Source organism: Homo sapiens, chromosome 9 (assembly GCF_000001405.40).
Source record: "Homo sapiens chromosome 9, GRCh38.p14 Primary Assembly".
NCBI classification, from domain to species: domain Eukaryota; kingdom Metazoa; phylum Chordata; class Mammalia; order Primates; family Hominidae; genus Homo; species Homo sapiens.
The window spans coordinates 61,613,111-61,631,192 of NC_000009.12; the positions used below are offsets into that span (position 1 = coordinate 61,613,111).

General features: G+C 47.4%; 1 long non-coding RNA gene across 3 annotated transcripts; it reads left to right on the forward strand.

Annotated features, from left to right (window-relative positions):
* The first annotated feature begins 2,710 nt into the window (after positions 1-2,710).
* On the forward strand, positions 2,711-13,803 carry FAM242D (family with sequence similarity 242 member D). 3 transcript variants are annotated; one of them, NR_170273.1, is made up of 3 exons: positions 2,711-2,897; positions 7,140-7,291; positions 13,560-13,803. It is a non-coding gene; the product is annotated as a family with sequence similarity 242 member D (long non-coding RNA). The 3 variants fall into 3 exon arrangements; NR_170272.1 differs by lacking the exon at positions 13,560-13,803 and having other exon boundaries at positions 7,140-7,318; NR_170271.1 differs by lacking the exon at positions 13,560-13,803 and having other exon boundaries at positions 7,148-7,318.
* Positions 13,804-18,082: the final 4,279 nt, after the last annotated feature.

Here is an 18,082-nt window from a genome sequence, read left to right on the forward strand (position 1 = left end):
GAGCCAAGGTGTACTATGAGCCAAGGATTATGATTAATCCAATTTTGTGCACTTTAAGCCATTTGAAAAACAGAAAAGCAAAACAACAAAATAATTTTTAAGAAATTGAATATAGGGTGCTATGCTCTGAATGTGTCCCCCTAAAATTAATCACCAATGTCATAGGATTAGGAAGTAGGGCTTTTAGGTAGTGATTCAGTCATGAAGGGAGAGTCTTCACAAATGGGTGTAGGATCCTTACACAAGGACTGGAGGGAGTGGGCTTCCCCTGTTTTGCCCTTCCGCCTTCTGCCATGTGAGGACACAGTGCATCTCCTCCTGAAGACACAGTGCACAAGGTACTATCTTGGTTGCAGAGACCAGGCCCTCACCAGACACCAATCCTGCTGGCACCTGGATCTTGGACTTCTAGCCTATGGAACTGTGAGAAATACATTTCTGTTCTTCAGAAATTACCCAGCCTAGTGTATTTTCTTATATAGAAGCACAAACTCATTAAGGCACAATGCCTCTTGTCATTTTCTTCTACAATTTTCTTTGTTGCTTCTTTAGCACTGGGTCATTTTATATTTGCTCCTTCATAATATCTCTTACTTTCGGTTTTTCACATTTCTGTTCCAAGTGTATTCTTAGATACATATTTTCCACTATTAGTTAACCTCAGGGGTTGCCTGGGAATGTGTGTTTCTGTGCCACCACTGTAGGACTGTGTGTGTGTGTGTCTCCCATTCTCTCTTCTCTGTCTCTCACCCTCTGTGTGTTTCTTTCCTTCTCTCTGTTGGTCTGTGTGTGTGTGTGTGTTTGTGTTTGTATGCCCGTGTGTGTGTGTCTTTGGACGAATGTGCTCTGTTTGCCAAAATGCGATTTTTTGCATGTCGGCCAGTCTTTGTTGAGCCTCTTTCTGCGTCTCTGCCTGGGTCCCGTGGCCAGTTGTCCATCATTTTCACGGCGGTTCCACTTTGGGTTTGTGAAGTCCTCGATCACGTGAGGAGATGCGTCGGTCCCGGAGCAATCGAAGTCTCATCCCCATCCTGAGCGGCCTCTTTTCTAGGATCAAGAGGACCACACTCCAACCCAGGACAAAACCCCTCAGCAGCTCATTGTCCGGCAGGAGAGGAGCAGACACACCTCCAAGAAGATGGTTGTACCCCTGCACGGCTCTTCTCTGAGCAATGAAGCCACACCACGATACAATTCTGAAGAGGAAGCCTGGAATGGGAGACAGCAACAATCCCTGTCCCTGGAATGCTGGCCTCTCTGGACAAGTCATGCGTTTCGCACCCCTCCCCTTATGCCCGTGGCGGTGGCAAGGTTCTTTAACCTGCCTGGGCTCTGGCCTGTGCTCTGTCCTCCCTCTTGCTCTGTCTCCCCTGTTTCTGAGGGGCCTAGTTGCCTCTTGGTCTGGCTGAATAACTTCTACGAAGATCGCTTCCCAGTCCATCAGGGAGACACTTTCTGGAGATCCGCGACATGACTCTTTCTCTCTCCAAACCTGTTTCTGCTGGATTGGGCAGGTCTGATAAGCCTGGAACACTTGGCTTCCATGCGTGTCTCAGACAGGGAAGCTTCTTTGGTCTCCTTGTTTCACCTTATTGGTGGGTGGATTGCCTAGAATGAGCGCTAGGTGATCATGACTGGCCTTGTCTTCTAGGACAGGTGGTGTCCCATTTCCTTTGCACGTCCTGTCTCACAAATGAGGGATATCTTCTCCTCTGCTCATAGGTGGACTGATTCCCTGAATCTTTTGTCTGTAACGAATGTCAGGAAACCAAAGGAACTGGGCTGGGCCTGGGGATGGGGTTGGGGCCGGGTGCCGGGAAGGTTGCGTCAGGGCTACCTGGGCGGTGGAGGCTTCGGGGTGGGGTGAATGTTGCAGAAACCTCTGTGCTCCTCTGGCAGGCATTTCAAAATGTGGCTTGGACTGAGGGAAAGGCCCCGTCCAGGTTCCCAGGTCTTCTTTGAGTTCCCTTGGCACTCAGGGAAAGGCCACTTGTTCCCCCTTTTCACCGGGCACATGCCTGGACACCATTGTTGGTTTCGCCATCACCCCATATGCCTCTGGTGATGCACATTCACACCATCTGCTGTGGGATACGCCAGTGCCAGGCGTGATCGCATTGTCTCCACCTCGGCTTCGCACCGTCCCTGTTTGCACCTGTCCTGGAAAGCGGTGTCCGCTTGCAGGAGCCCCAGGGCTTTTAGAAGCGGGGCACGCCACTGCTCTTTCAACGGAGGAGGGAGGCAGAGGGCTCACGGATCAGTGAACTTTCAGCTGACACCACGCCTTGAGGGCCATGGGATCATTCTGTGCTGCAGCGACGACCTGCCTGCCTCACCAGATGTGCTGAGCCCATCCTTTCTAACCCGGAGGGGTCCAAACTAGGATCTGAAGAGGAGTCCTGAGAACCCAGCAGGCACCCTGAAGATCCCCCTCCATCTGTGGAAGTCGGCTCAAGGAGGTCTTGAAGATTGGACTTCTGAGGGTTTGGCCCTGGGACAGGATACTCAAGGACTCCTCTCCCACCCCGCCCCAAACTGGACCTCAGCCCCCATGCCACAGCCCCCACTTTCTCCCCAGAGCTGAGGGACAGACAGAGAATTGTGACTAGAAATTCGATCGAGTGGTACGAGGGGCCACGTGGCCAGGGGCTGGCCAATGACCAGGCCGCCCGGGATGAGCTAATAATGGAAGCAATTTGTAACTTTCAGTAGCTCTCTAGGCCTGGGTACCGGAGGGAGGGAGGTGGGCAGAGGAGGGGAGATGGGCACCCCCAGTCTTTCCATCCTCCTCATTCGACTAGGGGCACCCGAATCCCCTATTCCTTATTTCCCCTATCACTCAGGCACTGGCAGGGTCCTTTGCCCACTCCTGTTGGCCGCTGCGGCTCCAAAGCGAGGTAAGCTGGTCCTCTACCCCTCAAACTCTTCACAACCCTCATCCCGTTTACCAGCACCTGCAAACCACAGCCTCCCTTCCTGTCCCATTAGTGAATTTAAATCGGATTTTGTTTTTCCTCTTAGTTGAAAGAAAAAAAATCTTTTTGTGTTCTTTTGTGTAACCTATCTCGGATTTGGAGAAAATTTTAATTCAAATTAATACACTTATATGGGGGGGTGAGTGGTACTTTCCTCCTTTTCAATAAATTTCTATACTTGCTACTTTATGGAGAGTTTACTTTTCTTTGGGGATGAGTTACACCTTATGTTTTCACATGTGTTACTTCTTTAATGATAAGTTCAACTCCTTTCTCCATTCCATCCTCCAATTTTGCTATTTATAAATATCACCTAATGGATTTAGAGTTTATTAATTTTCATCCTCCGTCACTAGTTTTTCAGCTGTTACAGAATCACCACAATTTATTTTTCTCTGTATGTGGATGAGGTTTTGTGTTGATTCCTCTTTTTGTTTTGTAAATGAATTTATTGTTTGGGAAACTCTTGGGGGGGTGTAAAAAAGGTCTCTTGATTAATTCCAACCTCTCCTCTTCTGAAGAACAATTTGCTTGAAATGTTTTGAGTATTTTCCTCATTTTTATTATGTCTAAATTTGAGGTATTTTACCTTCTTTAAAACCTGGCCTCTTTTTAAAATTTAACCTTTTGCATGTTAAACCATTTTTAAGGTTTTTGTTTTATAAACTGCAATGGTTAGTAGATTTACTTGCCTTTCCCTGACCTCCTTCACGCGCCTGCCTCCTCCATCTCAAAACTCCCATCCCCAGCTTCCACAATTCTCAGCTTCCAATGGACTCATCCTCCCCTCTCCTCCCAGCCAAGGAGGGATGCCTGGGAAGTAGACAGTGTCCTTCTTGGGTCAGAACCTATGCTCTGGTTCTAGTTCAGGACACCTCCAGTCTGACCTCCAAGCCGGCAAAACAAGTGAGAGCAGAATTTCTGCTCAACTTTTTCATTTGGGACTAAGTTATTTCCACTTGGCTGTATTCTGGAGAACTCTGATACATGAAATTGAATTTTAAATTCTCATTTTTCCCTAAATTCTAAGAAAAGTGCAGGCAGATTGTTTTTCTTCCTTAAATGTAAGCTGTTAGCTTAGGGGTCAGCCCTTTTGGATCTTTTATCTCCTGAGGGAGACTTTTCAGAGAGACACAGAGTGTTGATTCTTCCCTTTAGTTTTGGGTAAGCTAGAAGGGGCAGATCAATTGGGCTTCCATATTGATCTCTGGCTCTAGCTCTGAACAAAGAAGGGTAGAGAGCTGGCCTGGGGACTTGTCCCTTTGGTCAGTAAGGTTTGGCTTAGGAGAGAGTTTGAAGTAAATCCCAGCTCTGAGGAAATTCTTCTTTTTAGCATTACTGTGAAAATAAACTCTTAAAATGGTGTGACATGGCTTCAAACTATTCAGATTCCTTGAAGTAACAAAAATAAACTTACAAGAGTAATTTGTGTTTCCCAAAGATCCGCCTCCAGTGACTGTCCATTTCTCTCAGGGAAACAGAACCCAACTGGGCAGAAGTAAAACTGCCACCCCTCCCCTTTCAGTTCCCCAGTCACATTGACATTCTGGGCACATTTGGCCCAGCCCTCATCCCTGCTTCTCCCAAGTATGAATCTAAATTACTATTAATAAGGGGCTGCTCCAAGTTAATTGGCATTAAAAGAATTCATTTCAATTTGTTAATATTAAATGAATGCTCTGCACTTTAGCTCCCTTCTTCGCCCTGGATTCCCAGATGAGTGATGGGAAGAGAGGGCAGGGAAGTAGAATGAGGATTTTATTTCTGGCTCTTCAGCTTAGCCACTGTGGTGCCTCCCCTGGGGGTGTGCGATCAGGCACAGTGGGGGTCTGCTTGGGGAAGGTCTGATGGTCTTTTTTGGTGAAATTCATCTGTTTCAGCAGGAGTTGTGGGGGAGGGTGGGTGGGGAGCAGAGGGAGAGGGACAGAATGGTTTGGGGGACTTTGTGGGGAGCAGAGGGTCTAGGGAGAAAGTGGGAAGGGAAAGGGACGGAGGTCAACAAGAGTTTTGGAGGACAAGGGTTGTAGGCTGTGGGGGGTAAAGCCGATTTGTGAAGAACTGGTGATAGGAACTAAACAACACACCTAGAAGGGGAGGGGCTTTGAGCAGGGGTGGGGAGGTGGGATTTGAGGCAAAACAGCCAGGAGTTCTGAAACTATTAATATTTAACTGTGTGACTCAGGGCAAGTTGCTTAACTTTTCTCTCTGCCTCAGTTTCTTGACCTGTAAAACAGGGATACTAATAATAGAACTTATCTCAGGGGGTTATTTGGAATTAGAGGAAATACATGCCATGTGTTTTCCACAGTGCTTGGCACATAGAACCTGCCAGTAAATGTTAGCTCTTTTTATGGCAGAGTGGTTAACAGGATGGATTCTGGAGCTAGACGGCCTGGTTTTGAATCTCAGTCATGCCTTATGTGAGTTGTATGACCTAGGCAAGTTACTTAACCCCTTGTGCTTTAGTTTCCTTGTCTGTAAAACGGGGTTAATAGTACCTAGCTCAAAGGCTGCTGTCAGGATTAAATGAGTTATATGTACGAAGAGCCTGGAACAATGCCCATCCCATAGGAGACACTATGTAAGCATTAGTTGTCACTGATATTGTTGCTCTTCTGATCTAGGAAGGTTGAAAATAGAGGCACAGGTGAGCTACTACTTACAGGCTAAGATTGGAATCAGATCAACTCTTTCACTCTTATCCCTGAAGCTAGTCCTGCAACTGGGGCTGCATATGAGGGCTTGGGGAGAGATCCTATAACCCTGGAATCTGGGATATCCAAGTCCTTCCTCTGCTCTAGCTCTTGGGTTGGGGTGGGGCTGGTAATGGGAGAATTACTTTCTTGGTCTAATAACTCCCTTTAGTAGAGAGTTAGTCCTGGGAGTGTGAGTTGGGGGAGGTTGGGTAGAGCAGAGGAGATTAAATATCCTTTATGTACCAGCCCACACACACTTGACCTCTCCAGAGGGTTGGGAAGACAGAGATTCAAAGAGGGGAAGTGATCTGACAAAGTCCTAAAGCTAGAACTTGGCAGAGTTGGCATCTGAACTCCGATCTGCTTGATGGCAAACTTAAAGCCCTTCCATTGCTGCATGCTTTTTGAAGGGAGAAATGGGACACGTGTAAACTTGGGCCAGGACCATGGGGTAGATGTAAGATGGGCAAAGATAGAGTATTGGAGTGGGAAGTGGCCAAGCAGGAATGTTTCAATCATGGAAGATTTCCTGAGGAAAGAGATTCCACATCAGGGTTCAGATGGTAGGAGAATGAGGATAGGAAGTAAAGAAGAGGGAGGGAGCCATGCATTGACAAGGAAGGAGAAGAAAAAAGAATTTATGCAAAGGCTGGGTCAGAGTAATGGACATGAATTCAATTTGCCTTGGGTTTGCCTTACCATTTATTGAAGGCATACTATGTACTGGGTACATACATGATCACATTTGATGTTCACAACAGCCCTGACAAGTGGGTTTCTTATCCCTATTTCCAAAAGAGTTCATTGAAGTTCTGAGAGCTTAATCCCCGCTTTAGGTTACACAGTAGTAGCTGGATTTCCTGGCATCAGAACCCTCACCTACGCTGCCTCTGAGCATGGCTTCTGTGTCCCAGTCTCGATTTCCATGACTGTTTCAAGTCCTCCTGTTCCCCCGCATTTGTAGTCACTCTTGGTGACTGGGAACAAAGGGCTAGAGCGTGAGCTGAAACTGAGACAGGGAGTGGCAAGCAGGCAGTGGGGACAGAAACTTTTCTCGCATCCACCCATGAGAAGAAGATGGACAGAATGGTGGTCTTTCTGGAGAGAGGCTTCCAAGCCACTTTCCCAAGAAAGACAGCTGATCTTGGGATGAATGGCAGGGACCTGATTGGGTAGGGGATGGGTGGTCACATTGTTTTCTGGGCTGTAGACTTTATTTCCCTTCCTTTGGGAAGAGAAGAGGAAGAGGACAGCTCAGGTGTGGGTTTGAGCCCTGGATTAAGACTGCCCATTATCCACTAAAATCTCTTCTTTCCTTGCAGCACGAGGGTGGAGGGACACCCAGCTGGACACTCCATTTCCCAGCTGCTCTTATTGCCAGGTGTAGACACAGGGGAATGTGAGGTGAGCATGTCCTCAAAGCCTGATGGATTGGGTAAATTCTCCTTTGTGTTCTCTCTTTCATGAGCTGGGCAGATGTGCCTGAGACAGGTTTGACCAGGCAACTGAAAAGACATCCCTAAGAGAAGACAAAGCAAAGGTATGAAAGGAACACACATCCCTGACTGACTAGGAGGAACAGAGCTGCCTGCTGTCTGGAACCGCTTCCTCCAAGACTAAGTGAGAAATAAACTTCTGTTTTCTATATGCTACTGTGTTTTGGGGCCTTTGTGTTATAGCAGTTTTGCTGTCATCCTTTCCAATTTACCTTCTCACACCAGATTTTTCAAATTAAAAAGATTATATCAGGCCAGGTGCCATGGCTCATGCCTGTAAGCCCAGCACTGTGTGGGGCTGAGGCAGGCGGATCACTTGAGGCCAGGAGTTCAAGACCAGTCTGGCCAACATGGTAAAATCCCATCTCTACTAAAAAATGCAAAAATTAGCTGGACACAGTGGCACACTCCTTTAATCCCAGCTACTTGGGAGGCTGAGACAGGAGAATTGCTTGAACCCAGGAGGCGGAGGTTACAGTGACCCGAGATCATGCCACTGTGCACAGTCTGGGCTACAAAATGAGATTCTGTCTCAAAATAAAAAACTGATTACATCAGATCACGGAATAACTATAATAATATTTATTGGGCCAGATAGTATGCCAAGGACTCTATGCATATTATTTAGTGTAATCTATGTGACAATCCTCTGAGATACGTGTTACTATTATTCCAATTTAAACACAAGGAAACAGGTTCAAGGAAGGTAAGTTATGTGCTGAGGGACACACAGGAGGGAGTGGAGCTGGATTTCAAGCCCACTGGATGTGCAGAACTGAGCCTTTTCACCATGGGGGCAAATCCCTCCTGAGGACAGGGCTGGAAAGGCCATGGAGATCATCTTGTGCTTGGACAAGCCTCTTAACAGTCACAACAGGGACCTGACTCCCATTCCTACCTTCAAGAAGCTCAGCAGGCTACTACTCGTGTTCATGTTGGGTCACTACATACGGTTTTATTTGAAGGAAGGACCCCAGAGTTAAACTCATTTGAAAACCCCTGATAAATTCAGTCCCCTCCCTCTTTTTACAGGTGAGGCCCGGAGAGAAGATATGACTTGCTTAAGGTCACACACTTAGTTTCTCTTTCAATCTTTCTAAATCTAGGACGAGTTTTCTTCCCACTGTATCAGGCTGCCTGAACAAACAGGGAAGTACAAAAATAGCCAAATCCAAGAAGGAAGGCAGTGGTCTGTGTCTCCTCCAATAATTTCATGGGACAGCCAAGCCTATTTTCTTGATTTCCCTTGTGCCCCTCCTGTCGGATATCTGCTTTGGGAACCATCTCTTTTGGGCTTGCAGAGAGAACGGGCTGCACCAGCTCTCTACCCTCTGCATCACCCAGATGGTCAAACATGCAAAGGGAAAGGAGAGCTGGGGCCAGAGTCAAGGCAGGCAAAGAGACTCCTCGACCCCCTCCAGTCTTTCCACATTTATATTTTTGGAATTTCAGGCTCCCTCCTCCCCCGGGACCTTTCCTAGTAGCCCACCAGGGAGAAGAAGAGGGAAAACTGCCATAAATTTCTCCTACTTATACAAGATGACAGAGTTTCTTGTGCCAGAAAAAACACAGAAAGGGAGCTCTCAGTGGAGAAGGGACCCAGCCCTATACCTTCTGGGGTCAATTTATCTTTCTGAATTGTGGCTTGGGGGCTACCTTAACATTGCCTGTATGAAATGCAGGCTTTGACTTGGGGCAACCAGGCCAGACAGCCCCTGAGCTTTGTTTCTGATCACAGTTTTCCTGCTTCATCTCAACTTCCCCCTACCCCTTACGCTGTCTTTTTAAAAAACAACCTTCTTGAGGTATAATTCATGTGTCATACAATTCACCATTTGAAATGTACAATTCAGTGGTTTTAGTATATTCACAGGTATGTCAAACCATCACCATAGTTAAATTTAGAACATTTTCATCACCTCAAAAAGAAATCTTGTAACCTTTAGCTATCACCTCCCTATCCCCCCATATTCCTTCTTGCCCTTAACAATACTAATGTACTTTCAGTCTCTGTAGATTTCCCTATTCTGGACTTTCATATGAATGGCATCATATAATAAGAGACCTACTGTGACTAGCTTCTTTCATTGAGCATAGTGTTTTCAAGGTTCATCCATGTTGTGGCATTTATCAGTACTTCATTCCTTTTCAAGGCTGACTAATATTCCATTGTATGGATATATCACACTTTGTTTATCCGTTCATCTGTTGGCGAACATTTGGGTTGTTTCCACCTTTTGGATATTATGATTCTCTCTTTCCTCTTATTCTCTAGACATTTTGGATAGTATCCAGTGAGGCCTGTGGGCAAGAATGGGTGTTTCTTATATTTGGGAACACCTAGTACCCATGAAAGGAGGGTCTTGGCACATGTCTGCTTTCATATTAAGTACATGTACTAGCTGGAATTTTCCTCCCTCTGTTGTTACTGAGTTGGGGCTGCTCCCTCCTTTATCAATTCTCCCTTTTTATCATGATTGCTATGTTGGAAACTCGCTGACTCTTCAGACTAGGGGATTCAGATCCTTCTCTTGGGGCTTCAGAGACATGGAGTGGATGAATGAATGTCTTCCCATCAGGGAAGAGTTCCTGAGTCTGGTATCAAGTGATTATCCAGTGCCTCACAGTGGAAGGAAGGTCTGTGAAGACTCCAGGGTTGAGGGAAAGTTATGTTCTTGGAGGTATGACTGAGCCCAGAATCCAGGCCTCCAGTTTCCATCTCCTTGCCTGGCCCATTTCAGTCTTCAGACATTCTTTGAGGTCCATTCAGTCACTCACCCAGCAACAGACACTGCCTCTGCCCTCATGGACCTTGCAGTTCTAGTGGTGAGAGTAAGATGAATACAAGTGAGCAAAATGATGGCAAGTTGTTCAAGCTTGTTCAAACTTCTAAACACTGTTCAATGAATGAATGAACTAACAAGAACTTACTATGTGCTCTGGAAAGAAAATGTGAAAAATGTCGAGTTGTAAATCACTTTCTGCTACCGCTACCTTTCCTAGTCTGGAAGTCAGCATTACTTCTCCATCCCTTGGAGGAGATAGTGGGCAGATATTACAAAATGTTAGCTAAAAAGAGCCACCATTTATTGGACCAGACATACACCAAGGGGTTTCTATAGTTCATTAATTTTCACCCTTTGAATTAGGCATCAATATTTCCATTTTGAAGATGAGAAAAACCGAAACCCAGGGTTTAAGTAGCTATCTGAAATCACACCCATACCAGTAAGTGGCAGAACATTTGCTCTGGACACTGGGATAAGTATGTGTGTATGGGTTTTTTTTGTTGTTTTTTGTTTTCTGTTTTTTTTTGATGTTGTTGTTTGTTTGTTCTTGGGATGGAGTTTTGGTCTTGTTGCCGAGGCTGGAGTGCAATGGCATGATTTCAGCTCAATGCAACCTCCACCTCCTGGGTTCAAGTGATTCTCCTGCCTCAGCCTCCTGAGTAGCTGGGATTACAGGTGCCCACCACCACGCCTGGCTAATTTTTGTATTTTTAGTAGAGACGGGGTTTCGCCATGTTGGCCAGGCTGGTCCCAAACTCTTGACCTTGTGATCCGCCCGCCCCGACCTCCCAAAGTGCTGGGATTACAGGCGTCAGCCACTGCACCCGGCCATGTATGTGTTTTTATTCCTAGCACTTCATAACAAATGCCAACATCTCTTCCTGCGGCCCTACCACAGAGGGAGCTGATCAGTTTCCCCTCCTGCCCAAAGGCACAGCAGCCACAGTGGAAGTGCCTGAGTCCTCCCTCACAGCCTTCTGTCTAGTGGTTATTCCCGCTTCAAGGCTAAGGAAGGGAAGGACCGGTTTTGCCTTCAAAGGTTTTTTCCTTCCAGCCCTTGCTGTGTAGCCCGTTGTGTGTGGGAGGAACCATGAGAGGCCTGGATATTGTCAACAAAAGACTTGAACAAGCCAAAGAGCTGATGATGTTGACAAGAAGGGGACCTTAACAAGGCAGATAATCAAAAGTTGATGACTGACAGCCCCTTTTGCATCCCTTCACCCTCTGCTAAATCAGGTCTCTTACATGATCTTGATGACAAATAATAAAAATTATAAACACATTACAGTTTTCACATGCATTTGTTCACTTCTCACAGCAAATATGAGAGGTATCTAAGGCTGAGCAGCTTATTACAGAAAAAAGCTTATGGGACTAGAACCTTAATTTTATGTAACAAAGTTTATATAGAGCTTACCATGGATCATGTACTCTCCTAAATAGTTCAAAACTTTCATTTTTAGAGAGATGGGTGTCTTGCAGCCAGGCGCAGTGGCTCACACCTGTAATCCCAGCACTTTGAGATGCCGAGGTGGACAGATCACCTGAGGTCAGGAGTTCGAGACCAGCCTGACCAACATGGTGAAACCCCATCTCTACTAAAAATGCAAAACACAAAAATTAGCTGGGTGTGGTGGTTCATCCCTGGAATCCGGAGACTGAGGCAACAGAATCACTTGAATCCAGGAGGTGGAGGTTGCAGTGAGCTGAGATCATGCCATTGCACTCCAGCCTGGGCAACAAGAGTGAAACTCCATCTCAAAATAAAAAGGGGGGGAGCGGTCTTGCTATGTTACCCAGGCTGGTCTTGAACTCCTGGGTTCAAGCAATCCTTCCACCTCAGCCTTCTGAGTAGCAGGACTATGGGCCCATGCCACCAGGCCTGGCTGTATCTCATAACTATTAACTCATCTACTTTTTCACCACCATGTGAAGTAGGCATTACTGTTATTCACATTTTTTAAGATGCAGAAACTGAGGCATGGTAATCAAGTATCTTACCCAAGGTTGTACAGCCAGCAGGTGGTAGAACAGGGATCTTGAGCCCAGCCCCAGCATCTGTAACCACTTCGCAAGGTGGGCATCGCATGGGGACTACACTTGAAACTCTAGTTTGTTAGTCTGGTGCCCCTGCTTCCGCCTGCCTCCCTCAGTCTTTATGGCCCATTGGAAAAAGCAAGCCAGAGCTGTGGCTCCCAGGGTGACGATCCTTCAGCTGCTTCCTTGGCACTGTCATTCCCTCCTCCCATCTCCCGCCAAGGGCTACAGCCGAGAATACCACAGACGGTTTGCCATGGATCAAGATTTCTCTCAAGAAAGAGCTCACAGAAAGGCTGCTGTGAGAAAGGAAGTCACTTGCTACTCCCCTTATTCCTCCATCAGGAGGAGCTAGATGAGGTCACTGCACATTTGAGTGGGTGCTATCAAAGCACAGCCTCTGGCCAGTGTGGAGACAAACGTGGGCTGTGTGGCCCGTGACTGAGTGGCTGAAAGGAAACCTGAGGTGGTAGGTGATGGAACTGATTGAAATAAAACTTCTGTAGGAATGCTGCATGCCATTCATTCAACAGTGCTCCCTGACCAGGTCCCAGGGCTGTGCATATGAGCTGCAAATGGGTTTGTTCATTCATTTACATATCTATTTGCTTATTTATTCAATAAATTCTGATTACGCCCCTAAGAGGCACTGTGCTAGATATCAAGGAAGAACAAGACAACATCCCTTCCCCACAGGGGCTCCCGGTCTAGAGAGGGGAGGAGGAAGGAAGATCCACAGTGATTTGCATCATATGCTGAGGAAAGAGAGTCATTTACTATCACCGTTTGACATCCTCACCCCAGTGCGGTCCTTCTCTTTGTCTCTCCATGCTGAGAGTGGGCAGTCCCTGCTCTGCCGTCCTTCAGACACAGCCCTCTTCCCTCAAGCTGCCCTCTGCCTGGATCCCACCTCCCTTGTGAGCTGGAGTATTTGCTTGAAGGAGTCTTGACTCTCTTTCCCTGTCATTCACTGTTTGGCTGCAGGCAGTGACAGTGGTGGCAATAAAGCAGCAGAGAGGAGGCTTTGGTATCAGAGCAGGGACTCACGGGTGGGATGGGACGGGGATGGTTTTCTGTTTGCCCCACTGTGTTCTCTGTGCTGCTCTGCCCAGGGAGGCTGACCTCTGCAGACTGTGTCACATGGGCCCCCTGATCTCTCGGCCAATAGAGTTCCCGGCTGAGAAGGGGGAGAGAGGAGTCAGGGTATTTGTTTCCTCCATTCCCTGTCAGCCCCCCTTTTTGCCTGCTTGAAGCTCTGGTGGTGGTTGTGTTTCCTCCATGGTCACAGCTTTGCTGAGTGGCCTCTCTCTTGTGTCCCGTGAGCCCAGTTGGCATTGGGCTTTGGTAGAGATATTTCTATCCTGGTGCCACACTAGCACCAGGATTAGTTTTCTTCATCTGGTCTATGCCTTTAGAAACTGTCAAATCACTAAACCCTTCAGTGAAACCCTCTCGAATGTGTCATTTATTTTCTGTTGCCACCCTGACTGGCTCACCTGGGTGCAGAGGAGGTGGGGACAGAGCAGGTTGGGGCTCCAGTTCAGCTTTATTATCCCTCTTTTTCAGGGTTTCCCAGAGGAAGAGAGAGAATTTGGACAAATGAATGAGGAACAATGCTCTCCTGAGAGTTTCTTTAAGGGGCGAGAATCACTGCCGCTAGCTCCTTTGAAAGCAGAATTAAGAGGCAGTGCAGGAAGGCACAGCAGGAAGGCTCATGGTTAGACTACAGAGAAGGAAGCAGCCACTGCTGGGGACCTACCCTGTGCTGGTCACTGACAAGCTGTCTCATTAAACCTTTCCGGACCCTCAACCCCTCCTAGTATCTTATCCTCATTTTATAGATGAGAAGACTGTGGCCCAGAGAGGTAAAGATCTGGGGAGCAGGATGGGAGCTTCACTTTGTCTCAGTTGTTCTGGCAAAGAGAAGCCTCACCTTGTGATCAAGGGATTGGGAGGGTGACAGATAAATTTTGGCTTAAGTGTCAGCATAGCACTGGGAATCTGGAGCTAGATGGCACTGGCTTGACTCCTTGGATCTGCCTCTTACTGGCTGTGTGATACTGGGCATGCCTCTGTTTCCCCATCTATAAAAATGGGGCTAATGATAATAACACCTGCCTTACAGGTTGTGTAGAAGGTTGAATTTGTAGTTGTGAGGTGCCCAGGAACAGTGCTGGCACACAGTGAGCGCCATACACAAGTGTTACAGAATGGAGCCTCCTGCTCTCTCCTTATTTTCCACCCCCTGCCCTCTTCTCATTGCCCACCTCCCCTGCCTTCTCCTCATCATCCTGAAAAAGGGTGAACAGCCACCCAGGAGCCCCTGAACAGGCATGTTGGTCCCAGGCCCTTTGTGAGCATGCTTTTCCCTGCCCTGCCCCCTGTCATCACCATTCTGGATGGAGCAGCAAGGACGGAGACACTTAGTTGGGCTATCCACTCCAGGTCCAACGCCAGTGGGATCAGCTTCGATGGGATGCACACAGACTGACCTCTTCTCCCCAGCCCCTTCAATTTCCCAGAGCTGCAGGGGGCCTGGGAGTTCTTGGTAACAGCACATTAAACCTCTGTTTGTGGGAACTTTAATTTAAACACAAATTAGAGATGGCAAATGACTCTGGCAGCCAGATAAGCCATCCCGGGAGAGCAAGGAGAAAGCCAAGAGAATCAGCCCAGATAAGGCCTGACTTTAAACTACTGGTGATACCCAGAAGCCTGGGACAGATGAAATCTAGGGGTCCTGAATGAAGAACCCCAGAAGCTCCACACCCCAGTTGTCCTTGCTCTGGGCTCTATGCCAGCTCCCTCTCCTGTGTTCTCTATATTTCTATCTTTTTGCAAAATTCTAACCTGATTCTTTGGCTCCATCCCTCCGACCCCCACCCCACTGTTTTAGAGAATGCACTTTCTTTACTTTGCTTCTCATCTTCTTCTGTGACCTACTATTCTGAGAAAGTTCTACTTGTTATCTAACCTCCATCTATGCTACTACCTTTAGAGTCTAATACATCCTGCTTAGTGGTAGCTCTGGGAGTTTCTGTTCATGTGGCAAATGTGGTGTGGTAAAAACAACCTGAAAAAGACCTGGGTGAACTTCTCTGCATCTCAGTTTCCTCATCTGTATGATGAGTGTGTGAGAAAGAATCTCTAAGGACTTGTAAACTCTGACTTCTCACAGAGAATCTGAGGACAAGGACATCCCAGGAAATCTCTATTGTTCTGGAACTCATGAATTTTCCACTGTTCTACTGTTTGGGAGTGAGCGTGGGGAGAGCAGTCAAGCCTGTTGATTCCTTTCTGCGAGGGGTCTACAGGCTTTGCTTCCACCCCTCCGCCCACAACCCAGGCTTAGGCCAGGCCCAGGCCCAGGAGAGAGGCTGCCTTTCCAGTTCTGTCAAGGCCTGCTGAGCCCAGCTCTGTGGGGCTGTGGCTGCTAAGATGTTGTCTCTGTCCTCTGGGGTAGGAGCAACATATGTTCCCTCTGTCACAGCACCTGTGAGGGTGGCAGAGGGATGGCAACCCCCAAGAGGGCAGAGTTCCATCTCTCCAACTGACCTTGAATCATCTTTTTATCCTGCTTTTCTGGGAGGCTTAAAGTGAAGGTGGAGGGAGATATCGCACAGTCCCAAAGCCCCCACTAAATGGGGAGCTATTGTCTTTCATCTTTCATGCAGGGTAAAAGAAGACACCTCGGCTACAGCAAGAGGAAAGAAGGTCAAACCACAGGCAGAACTTTCAGGTTGAATGTTAGAGCAGACTGTGATCCCAAGAGGTCATCCAAGACCCTTGGTCTCAGAGGATGACTATGAGGCCCTGGTCCCTGGCTGGGGTGGGAACAATAATCCCAACAGCCCCATGCTAGACTGACTTGGGAGTCAGAAGGTCCCTGGGACTAGAATAGAAGGACTTTGGCATTTTCCCTGGCCTAGGGCCCTTAGACAGAAGTGGGCAGCTGCCATCAGGAGCCTGGGGCCCAGCTGTGTCCACCCCTTGCCCTCCTCCCCCCTCCTGAGTGCCTGGCTGCCCCTGGAGCCCCAGGCTTGCCTGCCATCTGGGCAGCTCAGAGGAGGGCCCACTGCCAAGGGAGTGCCAGCGTTGATTTATGGCCCACAACCTTGGCAGGCTCAGGCTGTGTGCCCGAACTGCCTTTGCTCAGGGAAGAGATGCTCCTCTTAAAGGGACAGTGCAGAGGAATGCAGGAAAGTCCAGGACAAAAGCTTGGCAGGGGGCTGGCAAAAAAGACCTCCACCCATCAGCACTCTGGGTGACTGTCACTCCCTAGGGAAACTTCTCCCTAGGGAACCACCCATCAAACCTGTTATCATACCCTATCCTTTGTAGACTTGGCCCAACTGTAACATATTAATATGTTTACTGTCAGTCTCTCCCACTGGACTGTAATCTCTAGGAGGGTAGGAACCAGACCCATTGTGCTCATTCCTGAATATTCAGCACCCAGCACAGTGCCTGGGGCCTAATAAGATCTCAGTAAGAATTTGTCAAGTGTAGGAAAGAATGAATAAATGAAGGTCCTTGTCCAGGAGGTGGAGGGAAGCCCACATGTCTTCTTAGTGCCTGTCATAGTTTCCGAGACCCTGCGGCATCTGCTGCTATCCCCAGGATCTCTCCCTCCAGGACCCTTCCTCACCCCTGTCATATCAACCCAGGACCAATGGGGCCAATCTTATCTGGATACCCTTGCCTTCCCACTTTCCTTGAGTCACCTTTCTTAAGTCCTTCACACAATGTTCTTTTCCTCCCATTTTCCTTCCTCCAAGATACTTTCTCAGGTTACCTACAGCCTCAGTCCTGGATCCAGATACTCTTTCAGATAATCTTTTATTTTTTTATTTTTATTTTTATTTTTTATTTTTCTTGAGACAGAGGCTCCCTCTGTCACCCAGGTGGGAGTGCAGTGGCAGTCTTGGATCACTGCCACCTGTGTCTCCCAGGTTCAAGTGATTCTCCTGCCTCAGCCTCCAGAGTAGCTGGGATTACAGGCTTGTGCCACCATGCCCAGCTAATTTTTGTATTTTTAGTAGAGACGAGGTTTCACCACATTGGCCCGGCTGGTCTCGAACTCCTGACCTCAGATGATCTGCCCCCCTCAGCCTCCCAAAGTGGTGGGATTACAGGCATGAGCCACTGTGACTGGCCTATCCAGCAATATTTACTGAGTATCTACTATGCACTAGGCACAGGTTGCCAAGAATTCATGAATAAATGGAACAGGCATAATCCCTGAACTCAAGGGCCATACATTTCAGAGAGTGAAACAGACAAAAAAATAAGTAAGCAAGTTAGCAAATAGATACATGCAATTTTGAGACCTGTTGTGAAGTGGGTAATCAAAGACAGGGTGGAGCAGGGACCCTTTAAATTGGGTGGTCAGCTAGGCATGGTGGCTCACGCCTGTAATCCCAGCACTTTGGAAGGCTGGGGCTGGCGGATCACCTGAAGTCAGCAGTTTGACACCAGCCTCACCAACATGGAGAAACCCTGTCTCTACTAAAAATACAAAAATTAGCCAGACGTGGTGGCGCATGCCTATAATCCCAGCTACTTGGGAGGCTGAGGCAGGAGAATTGCTTGAACCCGGAAGGCGGAGATTGCCATGAGCTGAGATCGTGCCATTGCACTCCAGCCTGGGCAATAAGAGCAAAACTCCGTCTCAAAAAAATAAAATAAAATAAAATAAAATAAAATAAAATAAAATAAAATAAAATAAAATAAAATAAAATAATAAAATAAAATAAAATAAAATAAATTGGGTGGTCAGAGAAAGTTTCTGTGAGGAAGTGACACTTGGGCTGAGGTTTGAAGAATGAGAGGGAGTCATGTAAAGAGTGAGGTAAAAGCATTCTAGAAACAGTTCAGTCACCTGGGTGTGCACAGCAGCATTTGGGGGATGGGAGTGGGAGAGGAGATTTCCCAAACTGCACTCTCCTATCTCTTTTACATTTTGAAAGCCCTTGCCCTTCTAATGTGGGAGGACCACTGCTTAAAATCTTTGGAGAAGCAGCCCTGGCCTTACCTGGAAGCTGGTTAGAAAACAGAGCTCAGGTGCCACCCCAGATCTACTGAGTCCG